General features: G+C 42.2%; 1 long non-coding RNA gene across 2 annotated transcripts in view; it reads left to right on the top strand.

The window, feature by feature from the left end:
* LOC124906243 (uncharacterized) overlaps positions 1-12,331 on the top strand; it is a 207,146-nt gene that overhangs the window by 24,479 nt on the left and 170,336 nt on the right. Inside the window, exon 4 of one of the 2 annotated variants that reach the window (XR_007095916.1) lies at positions 852-1,544. The exons of the other annotated variant lie outside the window; for it this stretch is intronic. This is a non-coding gene — a long non-coding RNA (uncharacterized LOC124906243). Of the gene's footprint in view, positions 1-851; positions 1,545-12,331 lie in introns of those variants that run through there. 2 annotated transcript variants of the gene reach the window in all.

Raw genomic sequence — 12,331 nt, 5'->3', positions numbered from 1 at the left:
CATTCACTTGTTCTTTTCTTTTCTGTGAAACATCTATTGACCGCTGACTATGTAAAAGGCAACCCTCTAATACCTTGAAAAGAAGCTCTGAATTGCTTGTCATGATATTTTGGTTCTAATCTTCTGGTTTCTCCAGTCCAAGATTGTTACTAGACTCTAGCAAGCCTTTCCACTTGTTTCCTCAACTCTATAATAAACACTAAAACAATTATCCTATCTGTCACATAGGGCTGCCATTTACATGATCTAAGAGATATGAATGCCCTTTAAAAACATTAGACATGTGTGAAGTGTATGATTGTTACTGGGGAAAAGAAAGCTTCCAAATACGAACCTACAGGCAACACTACCCCCAACCCATGAGAGTTCTTCACTGCTTATGAAGAAATTGAGTCTCAATTGCAAATCAGTTTCATAAAAGAAGAGAAGCTTCATCCAGCCATCGAAATGCTGAGCTATTCTACTCTTGTTTTAATCGAAGGCTTAGGTTTCTGAGCAGTCTTAGATTTGCCTTGGATGACCGTCCATCCCTCTGTCTATCCATCCATCCATCCATCTGTCCGGTTACATCCTGGATGAGTCTTTAAATTATTTCTGGCTTATGACATAAACACATACAAGGAAATAATGATAACATTGAAGTAAAAATAGGAAATCAGTTTTAGGAAAAATATGAAGAGACATATAATGGTAATGGTTATGAGTATAAGAGACTGAACTCAAGGACAAGGAGGGTATCATTTTCATCTTGGTTCTTAGCTAGAACTTGGTGCCATGTAGGAACTGAGCCTTTATTTTTGAAGGAAAAAATAAAAATAAGTACAATCTGTCAAATGTCTCCTCCATTTCAGGTATTTTGCATTTCACCTCTGACAAGTGGTCCTTTGCTACACCCATCACCTGGCTCTAATCCTGCTTTCTTTTTACTTGTATACTCCATGCTTACCTTCTTAGAAGAGAGATCTGGGTACTGGAATGTTCTGGAGTCCAGAAAAGGACACCGTGCCACCCTTTAACAACAGCGCCATGATGCAGAAGGTCCACAAGCTGGCTCGAACTTAAAGGCAACTTCACTGTCTCCCCTAGTGCCTGGCACACAGCAGGTCATTGTAAATTTTTGTACACTGAAATGAACATCTAGCCACACACTGCATGACTGGGGTTAGTGAGCTCGGCAGTCCATATTTCAGTCTCCAACTGCGTGATTGTTGACTTCCTGCTGTGTGTCAGGCACCCTGGCATGTGCGCCACTGTCTGAATTCAGACCGGATTCAAATATCACCTTCTGCATAGCCCTCATGTCATCTTTATCATGCAGCTTTTTCATCTTGCCTTATTTTTGTCACTTGAAATATTACAGTTTTTGTCTACTTATTTATTTTATGAGCACCCCCACCCCATAAACACAGTATAAAGTAGTGCAGAAGCAGGAATAGAAACTTCATCTATCCCACATATTGGGAACACTCTCCAGAAAACAATAGATGCTCAATAAATATTGGCTGAATGATCAGTTGAGTTATTTAGATTTCCTCTAAACTTGTAAGGAGGAACCCAAAGTCTTACTAAGCATTTTTTATATGCTAGGTACTATGCATTTACTACATATACTACATACTAAGCTAACTTAGATAAATTTGGTTATCTGATACATATGTCAGAATAACCATATGAAGATAGGAATTATCATAATTTACATTTTATAGTTAAGAAAAATTAGTCACAGAAAGGATAAGCAGCCTGGTCAAAGCCACGCAGCTAGTAGATACCAAAGGTGGGACTTAAAACCAGGCCTGACTCCACACCCACTATGTTCTTTGTTTCCCGTCCCTGAAAGCTTTTTGCCATGCAAGCCAAATATGGCTGGTTGAATACCAAGGGAGGCTTCTATTGAATGGTTGTGGGCTGCCATCTTTCCTGATGTATAGGGAGAAAAGGGTTAAAAAGGAGATCCCATTTGTGATTCTTTTACAATTTATCTGAGGCAGGCCCCAGTTAGGTGGGCATGGTGGCACATACCTGTAATCCCAGCTACTGGGGACGCCGAGGCAGGAGAATCACTTGAACCCGGGAGGCGGAGGTTGCAGTAGTGAGCCGAGATCGCGCCACTGCACTTCAGCCTGGGCGATAGAGCAAGACTCTTTGTCTCCAAAAAGAAAATGAATAGACTATGAAGGAGAGCAAAGGAAAGAACACTGAGTAAGCCAAAGGAAGGACTTTGGGATCTTCCCAGTTACCACTTGAAGATAGAATCCTGGGAGCAGCTACATAGCTTGGGCTTGACTCCACCATTTACTTCCTGTGATGTTGGGCCAGATTACTCACATATCTAAGCTTTAGTTTCCTCATCTATAAAATGCAGTATAACCCCTGGGAAATAATAATCATTCAATATCAGTCCTTGTTTCTGATATCAATACATTTTAGTCACTGATATTATTGTATTACAGCTACCAATATTAATAAGGTGCATTAAGTAGAAGACAAAATTATAGCCTCACCTCGGCTCTGGGACCCTATGCCAACACTTAATCTCTCTAAGCTTCATCTGAAATCTGGGCTCTTGGGCACCAGCTGTGTGTGCCATCCTTGCAGGGCTCAGTAATGGAAGGAGAAGGTGTTTGGATGAGGACTGAGGGCCATGGGACTGGAGGGGTTCATCATTTTGCTTGTAACTGGTGTGTGACGGTGACGAGACGACAGAGAGCAGGGCCTGGACATAACCTCTGCTGCTGCTAGACCTGTCATAGATAGTCCTTTGTCAGAGAGTGTCACACGAGGGGAGTGGCTTTAATTCTGTGATCACCCATGGAACCAGCCGGTTCTGAGAGGCTGCGTGAGGGACATTATTTTTGTCTGGCAGGTCCAGACCTGGCTTGATAAGGCAGACAACAGATGAACCTTTTGGAAAAATTCTGAAAGAGTTTCTCATTGGGAAGATGCCATGGAGTGGAGCTGCACCAATGCTGCAGAATTTTTCTTTAGCGTCCAGTGTACCTCATGTTCAAAATAGTAATTGAAATGTATGCTGTTTATTACACTCGCATGTGTTTGTAATCAAGGTACAACTCTAGTAGATGAGAAGCAAAAAGCTATAATTTGCTGCTTAGCATCATAGCTGTCGTACATTCGTTTAAATAGCTTTATTTATCTTCTTCTCCATAAAGGACCTTCCATATTGCAAATTTATTGAATGGCTAATGGCCTAAAAGTATGGGGTTCATTACAGAGCAATGTATTTATTGCAGTGTTAATTAAATAAAAGCATTGTAATCTTTCCAAATTGTACAATTATGTTCATTTAAACATTTTAAACAGAAAAATCTTTTATGTACTAATTGAGTTGCATAATAAAAAGCATGTGTAATGGAAATTTAAATCAAAACAAATACTGAAATAATTTGAACAATTTTTTTTAACAATATGAAATGCCTACCTCCATCTTTATTAGAGATACTCTAACGACCAGCTTGCTTTCAGAACCCATGACCTCTGAGCAGGGTATATGGTTTCAGAGCCCATTGGCCACCCTCACATCCCAGCCAGCCAACCCTTAGACATCAAAGTCCTGGTTGGCTACCAGCCGCAGCCCCTGACACCCTGGCTGCTAGCCTGGATCCTGACAGGCTGGCGTGGGGCCTGTAGGCCGAGCTGACAGCCTTTTCTGTGGAGTCTGATGAATGGTTTCTGGCAACAGGCAGTTACGCTCTGACTGCCTGTGAAAGGAGTACCCCATCGAAAAAATGCGCACTGTCTCTCCCAGCTTTCCTGGGGTGGGAGCCTCAGGAGTGCCTGGTGCTGCTGACTTTTTACATCCAACAGGGGTCTTTACTTGCTTTTGGAATTATCTCCTGCTCCTTGTCTCTCTCAGGCTGGAAGGGGTTGGTGACAGCAAAGGTGCCATCCTCAGCACAAAAGGGATTTGCTTTCTTGGTGCACTCCAGTAAAGATCTTTTGCTGCCTGTGTTTTGTGGCTCCATCCCATGCTTCAGTTAGTTAGGGCTAAATCTTAATGCAACATTGAGATGGTAGAAAAAGGTATGGAGGCAGAAAAACAGGCACATTTTTCAACTAGATGCTCATTTCCTGGTTCCACAGAAGGATTTGTGTGGGCTTCTTGGTTTACCCGCATCTTAGTCTCTTGTTTTGAAATGGTCTTGAGTTTAGCTAGACCCCGTTAGCACCATGTCTTAGATACCCAGCAAAATGCAGGAGAGTTGCCTTCCACTTTCTGATACCCATATTTTGCTGGGATTATCAAGAGGATTAAGGAGAAATCACTGTACTAAAACCTTCGATTATTAAAAGTAGCAACAGTAAGTTGCTTTAGAAGGAAATTCCTGCTTGCCTTATCCTTAGGATGAAGTTTTAGAAACAAGAGTATCTAATAATAATCCTCATGCTGGCTAAATATATTAATAAAAAAGGCTTATGGCAGGATAAATGAAAATATATATATACACACGTATATACACACTGTAATTAAGCACATGATTCAGGAACATTATTCCTCTGTCCTACTCATGAAAACTTGCCAGGAGTGTCACTCAAGCTAAAGGGATTTAAGTGGATCCCAGGAGAATGGAGAAAAATCCATTCTACTGTACCCAAGATTTTAGTGTTCAGGTTGATAAAAGACAGGTGAATACCCAAAACATGGATGATGTATCCATGTCTCAGTCAAAACTTGGACAAGAGAGTCTCAAGGCTGGATTCTGTACCTTAATAGAGTCTAGTCACTGGCCTTGACTTGACCTACAGAAGGGAAGAAAGAGACCATTCAAAGAAGAGTCAAGTTAATCAATCTGGATAAAAGCCAATATGTAACAAACCTGCACGTTGTGCGCATGTACCCTGGAACTTAAAGTATAATATAAAAATTAAAATTAAAATTAAATAAAATTTTAAAAAAAAGAAAGCAAAAGAAATACTAGCCCACCCCCCACAATGAGTTCACTCCAGCACAGATACATTTCCTTCCTTTCACCCTTAGTGTTTCCATCTAGAAAATGGAAATGGTAATCCCTGCTTAGTGTCTATGTTGTATGTTGCCTTTGTGCCAGGCAATGTGCTGGATGCCGGGGATAAGAACATGAATAACACAGACAAGATATCTGCATTCCTGGACATACAGGCTTGAATGGAAATAAGAGAGTAAAGAACAATAATTATGGAATGTCTGAAATCCGTGGAACAGGGGTCAGTCAATATTTTCAGTAAAGGGCCAGATAGTAAATATTTTTGGCTTTGCAGGCCATCTGGTCTCTGTCACAACCACTCAACTCTGCCACTGTAGTGTGAAAGCAGCCACAGACTACTTGTAAATGAAGGGGCACAGCTGTGTTCCAATAAAACTTTATTTACAAAAGCAGATGGCTCACTGGATTTGACCCTTGGGCCATAATTTGCCAACCCCTGCTCTAGAAGTGAACAAGGTGGGAACCACTCAAGAGAGCCTCTAGGGAAGTATTCTCTGTGGAGGTTGACATTTAAGTGGAGAGCTAAGAAAAGAATTGGTCATGGGAAAGAACATTCCAGAAAGAGGAATGGCAGAGGCAAAGATCCTAAGGTGGCAACTAGAATAAGTCCTGGGAAGTGGCTGAAGGTCGAGTGACAGGTACATGAGAGGTGTGAGAGGAAGAGAGTGTGACATGGGCTGAGGAGGTAGGCAAGGGCCCAAGCACAGGGCATTTTATAGGCCCCACAACAAAGACAGAGGCCTCTCATCCTTCTGCTTAGATTGGCAGATGGGCATGAAGAGCTCCTTCTAGACTAGGGTTCCACTGGACCCACAGAAGCCAATCTGTCCCTCGGTGGTTGTAGGGGGCATCTCCCCATTTTTTGAGAGGGTGATGATAGGGAAGAATATAGCCCAGGGTCAACTGAATGAATCCGATTTTATCCATAAATCCTCACAAAATTCCAATCGGTGTTTTGGCACAGGTTCCTTTCAATGATGACCTGTTGTTTCGAGCTGATCATTGTGCACAGCTTTTACTACTCAGGGTGGGGAAACCTCAGGAGTTTACAAGTTCAGTTCCAATAAGCAGTTCAATATTTGGTTGTCTGACCTTCCCTCAGGAGTCAACATGGTACTCCTACCTTCCCCTCTGCCCTAGAGGCCGAGTCTTAAGCTACTAATCCCTTGGTCTTCTCAGGACATTTGGCAATTCTAGTTCCACCAAATAGTAGCCCTATGGTTTCCACTGCATTGCTTACCTTGAATATTTCTCTAAGACCCCACATAGCTTGGTCTCCACCTGGACCCCCTACTTCCAGTTTTTCTCTTCGTTAGAGAGCTTCCTACTCTGGGGAATATTTCTAATCACTGGATCACAGGAGGGGGAGTTATTAGAGCAATACAAAAGTTTTCGAACCCTCTCAGAACTTCATTTCCCTGCCTGAGCACCACCAAGATCTTGTTTGCTTTCCTGCCCTGTATGGGAATTCAGGGGATAGTAAAGATGTACTTGGCAAACTTTTTCCAAGCTCACATGTTCCATGTTCGTGACATCTGTCTTCTGTTGCTGGGTATATTTTTTCTGGATTGAATAAAATTTTGAACAATGATTCCTGTTTTTATTTCCGGAAATTTTGTGCGTCACTGTAAATCATATGTAATTATGTGCATACAAACCAAAAAAAGAAATATTTGGGTTGGAACTCTGAAGCTTTGATTTGGCTACTTTAACTAGTTAGAGCCAATGGAATGGAGTCATTTTCAGTGTCCCCCAAGAGAGTTAAGTAATAGTAATGGAGCTTTCCCAAGGGGATTGAGTGAGGGAGTAAAGGAAACAAACTAATTATCTTTAATGAATGTATTGGTCCACGACAACATGATGCAAAAACCTTCTTTGATACAACAGAAGTAGCCGTTGAATGTGTGTGTTGGAATGTTTTAATTCGAGTCAGCTTTTAAATGCAAGGAGACACCCCACAAGATAGGCAGGTGACATGGAGAGGCCACTGGATTCAGACAGGCAGGAAGGGGTGTTTCCTCAGAAGTAACAACCACTCACCTACAGAAGTTGGTTTTTCAATATGAACAAGACTAGTTACCAGCTTAATGCTCTTGCCTGCAGTGGTTGAACCCATCTCAGTGTGCTTGGAACTAAGCATGTAAAAAATTCTTCTGAAGCTCCTCTTGGTTGGAAGTATTGGCTGCTAGCAACAGAAACTGATTTGAGTTAGCTGAAGCGTGGGAAATTTTATTAGAAGGCTACTGGGGAGCTCACAGAGGGAAGAATGGGAAGCTGGGAAAGTGGGCAGACATCAAGACTAGTGTGAGGGCCAGGAAGACAGGAGCAGGAAGGGAAGAAAAGCCCACAGCCAGGCCAGCTGGAACAGTGTTGCCACTACTCTGGAGCCTGACCTCTTCCCCTTGAACTCTGAGATAAGGTTCAAGGTCCCAAGAGACAGCCCTTCCCTGCCTATGCTGAATCTGTGAAAGGTGGGTCTGGCTCTGGCCCTTTGACTTCCACAGAGGGAGGTGATACAAGAATTACACTCCTTCCAAGAGATCCACAGTGGTGTATGGGAAGAGGTTACTTCCTGGTATGGTGTTAGGGTAATTAGGGAATTTATAAATTAGGGAGAAAATGGAGGGTGAACAAGCAAGCAGGGAGAGAGAGAGAGCGACAGAGAGAATGAAACAGACATTTGAACAGTCTTTTCTGTAAAGAGGAAAGCTCATAGGTAGATGCCTTCTTGACTCAACACCCATCTCTACCAGGATAAGAGTCCAAGTCGTAAGTTTCATAATTCTTTTGTCATTTGGTATTTTCTATTCCATCTTTCCAGTGGTGGTGGTTGGAATTAGGAAATTGCAAGGAGAGACTGGGACATGGACAAGAATGCTTTGGTCACATTAAACCCTCAGAAGGTAATGCATTTCATACTAATAGAGCTAATGTTTTCAGACTTAATTCATTATGTGTTTTCATGGCTCTGTATGGCCCACATAAATGAGTGAATATGTGTTTTACGTGATGCATTTGCTTGATATTTTATTTTCTGTGAAACATCCATTGACCTCTAACTTTGTAAAAGGCAGCCTTCTAATACTCTTGAAAAGGAGGTCACTAAGGTTCCATGAGCTCACCTCCTAGGTGGGAAATAGGGTCTCCGACCACCTATAATAAAAGGTAGGGTATAAGGAAAGGAAATGACAGAAGTAGAGGAGAGATCACACCCATTTGGAGAAAAGCAAGGAAGACTGCCCAGGGATGGTAGGATTTGAGCAGGGCTTTCTTTGGAGGGTAAATAAAAGTACCCCTAAATCTAGGGCATCCCAGACATAACGCCCATGCTGCAGTGAGGGAGATTAAGCTATGCGGGCATGTGTGGCTCCACGTATGTGGGTCCACGTGTACATTCGGGAGTGGTTATAGTAAAAACTTTAAGGACTGGCACTTTGGGCACTAACTGATTAGAGCTTTCACTGGGCAGATCAGCATACCAATGTGTAATGACTTAATACCAGCCTTGCCTGTAGTTAACGGTGGCATCCCTCTCGCACATGCTTAACTTGGTCAAATGAAGCCATGCCCATGCAGGTCAATTCTGGGTACATTTTCTTCCATTGAGTTATGCCTTGGCATGAGATGGGAAATGGAAATGTGATGTTTCCTTTTTCTGTCCTGGTTCCCTAGTGCATCTCCTAGCATGAGCATCTGCCTATATTGAGGGCAATTCTGCTCTTTAAAAACTGTATTGTTTGAACAACAGGGCCTCTATGTTCAAGCCAGCTTCTTCCTCAGGTGCTCCACTGAGAGAACAGAAATCTCTTTCCTTACTGGCGGAAGGATCTGCTGTGCTGCACTTGCTGACAGAGATATGTCTGTGTCCTCTACTATTGGACAGTTTCAGAGATTTGCCGGGGAAGGTCAACTCTTGGTTAGTTTTGCCTTGCTGACTTTAGAACCAAACCCTCATAATGTGAGCTTTACTATACAGGCATGCAGGAAGAATAACAATAGGTCGTGAGCATGTACTAGGAACAATCTCTAATTTATGTCCCCACAGTAGGCAGTAGCCAAGTGTTGTGAGCAATTGTAGACTTTCTGGGTGGAATCACGTAGTGTTTCCCTTTCGCCTCCTCATTCTTTACCCTCTGAAACCCACCTTTACCTTCATCCAGATCCTCGTCCTTATGTGACCCCACAATACCTTGTTTTGCTGGTGGTAGCCAAAGAGGAGAAGGGAGCTTCTGTGGCTTTCCTTCATGTCCTGAGTCCACAGCAGCTCTGGTGCTCCTCACCTCTATACCTCACAGCTTCCTCCTCACACTGTAGGGCTCATCAACCGAATGCGGCAGTTCTAATCCTCCTGATGACAATATTCACATTGGTCAAAGAAATTAAAATGTTGGTCAAGACCTCAGATAATACATATGTTTATTTATTTATAAGTATGTGCATTTTCTTTTGTTATTGCTAAGTGGAGTCAAGTGGTCAGAGCTTGGACCCAAAGGGAGGGTTTGAGTCCTGTTTCCAACCTTTACTGGCTGTGTGATCATAAGCAAACTAAAAAAAAAAAAAAAAAAAATCCCAACTCTGTGGCCCAGTTTCCTCATTAGTGAAAAAAGTAGAATAATAGCACTTGCCTAATAGGATTGTTGTAAGTATTAAATAAGTCACTATGTGTGAAGTGCTTGAAACAGTGCCTGGAACAAAGTCAGTCCAATGTCAGTTCTTGTTTTTGTTATTTTAAGTCACGGTGGGTTCATTGCCAATGATACAGAAACAGGGCAGCTATTTGCCCCAGAGGTTTGGGACAGAGTTTTCCTGGTATCACCACAGCAAGGGGAGATTCCCCCTAAAGGAGCCACAGTGAATTTTTTCATGGAGACATTGTGAAGCACGGAGCTAAAGTGCTAGCACTCTCGACCCACTAGGCAGGGTGGAGATGCAGGTTGGGAACCTAAACAACCCTGGTCATTTCTTCCTGGAAGAATGTATTTCACACCCTACCCGATTAGCCTACCTAGCAAGACATAGTCTAACCTTCACTTGGATCCTACCTGTCGGGGTGGAGGGAGCAGGAGTAGAGAAAGTAAACCCTTCTGGACTAGCAGACAGTGGCCAGATCTGTGTTCTTAGGCCTTGTGAGAGACTGGCTGGAGGTAGGCATGACCCGAGCCTGATGGATAAGACCCTCAAAGGTCTGTCGTTTGGATCAAGTGAGACAATGTAAAGGGTAGAGCTGGGTGTGGTGACCAGACTCCACACACTGCAGAGATCTAGGAATGGGCATTAGATGGTCCATAGACCCACTGACATTATAAGCAATTATTGATATGTTGGTGATGAGTATCTCGAAAATGAATAAGAACCAATGTTATGAAGCACGGTGCAAATTTAAGGTAGGGCTCTTTCTAGGCATGCTTTTTAAATCACAGTGAATAAAATTCTTTTTGTTTGTTTTTAGATGAAAAAATAACCTTGGACTCTTTTCACTAAGCAGCAGAATTTTAATCAAAAGTTTGGGAGGCCAAAGCAGGTGGATCACCTGTCAGGAGTTTGAGACCAGCCTGGCCAACATGGTGAAACCCTGACTCTACTAAAAATATAAGGATTAGCCAGGTGTGGTGACAGGCACCTGTAATCCCAGCGACTTGGGAGGCTGAAGCAGGAGAAGCGCTTGAACCTGGGAGGCGGCGGTTGCAGTGAGCCGAGATCACGCCACTGCACTCCAGCCTGGGTGACAGAGTGAAACTCTGTCTCAAAAAAAAAAAAAAAGTTTAAAGTAATAAAAGAAAAAATGTATAAATTATATAAATTAAATAGAGCACCATCCCAGTATTTTCAAGCTGTAACACACAGCTTCCACTCTGGGTGCAAGATAGCATGTTTTTCTGACGTGGAAAAAAAAATGTTGCGTCAGTTTCTGTGTTGCAATTTCTTCTGGAATTCAACTTTAAAAGGTAGGCATTTATCTTATTGAACTATTAGCACCATTTTTCTCCAATTTATAAAATGTCTTCCTTTATCTACCTCCCTTCAACAGTCATAGTAATCACCCCCACAAACACATACATATCTCAAGCTGAACTGCTAAATAAACTTATACAAAAATGTCTGGGAGTTATAGGGTATTTTATCTGAAAGCTTTTCCCATTGCTTTTTTGAGCATTTCTTACTCTCTGATTATCACATTTAGTGGTTCTTTTAAATGACCAACAGATCACTAGAATTGTAGAAACTGCCTACACAAGAAAAGATCAGAAATCATTAGGTGGTTTCAGATTTCATGTGTATCCATGTAATTGAGTGAAGTCATACAAAAACAGGAACTAATTGTATGTCCTTTGCCCTTCAATGTGAATATAGCTCTGGTTTCCAAGTAGAAAATTCTTACTTCGGAAATCAGTCAATGGTTTGATAAATACTTGATTCAGAAGCTCAGTTTGAACCTCAAAAGGATCAAGTGTACAGAATAATTTTGATTTCTCCAATATGCCTCCAGGTCATCAGGGGGACAAGCAGCATCCTGCCTGGGGGAGGCTGACCAGCAGGCTTTCCCAGTGGAGCTCTCCTTTCCCTTTGTGAAAAGTCTGGCAGACTGGGCTTTCCAAATAGTATTCCCTTTCTGAAATGCAAATTCACAGTCTTATTTCAAATCCTGGTGAATACTCAGCACATCGAATCACTTGTTTCAAGGCCAGGGATAGAGTAGCGACCTATCAAGTGATGACATTTTTTAGATGTATTGGGTCCTGAAAAGGTGTTTGAAACAAGAATCAAATTAAAAAGTGAGTGGTTACATATGTGTAACTGACTCTGTTGCAAGCCATTAAAATGGAATGTGTTGAGGCCACCATTTGCCTCAATTCCAGGGACCCTTCCTCAGCAAGTGTGAAGGGAGGTCCGGCCATTTTCTTGGCTGTTGGGCATGGTATTGCCTGTTGTTTGAACTAGGAGCAGGACTCACTGTGGGATCTCAGTCCAGGGTTTTCCATTTGTGAGAAACATGATCGCAGAGGTAATTATTTGACTGCTGAAATACTGTTTTTCAAACATGAGCCCTCTTTTTTTTTTTTAAACAAAGTCTGTATCTATTTTATCTAAACCAGCAGTAGTCATAACAGCCATCTCTCTTCGAAGGGAGAAATGAGCTATCAGTTTTTCTCAGGCCTGAGCATTCTCCCACCTGTCCTCAATTTAATGCACAAATGAAAGCACATAAATCTTTGTGACGTTTTGGCGTAAAGCACCTACTTCAGATGACTCCTTTAGGAAACTCTGAACCCAGGTGTTTGGTTTTTGCATAAACTTTGCAAAATGAGAATTGTAACACGACCGTGTGTGTACACACACACACACACACACAC

Source organism: Homo sapiens, chromosome 3 (assembly GCF_000001405.40).
Source record: "Homo sapiens chromosome 3, GRCh38.p14 Primary Assembly".
In the NCBI taxonomy this organism is placed as follows: domain Eukaryota; kingdom Metazoa; phylum Chordata; class Mammalia; order Primates; family Hominidae; genus Homo; species Homo sapiens.
Note: the sequence above shows the minus strand (reverse complement) of the source record. Positions and strands in the feature narration are given on the sequence as shown.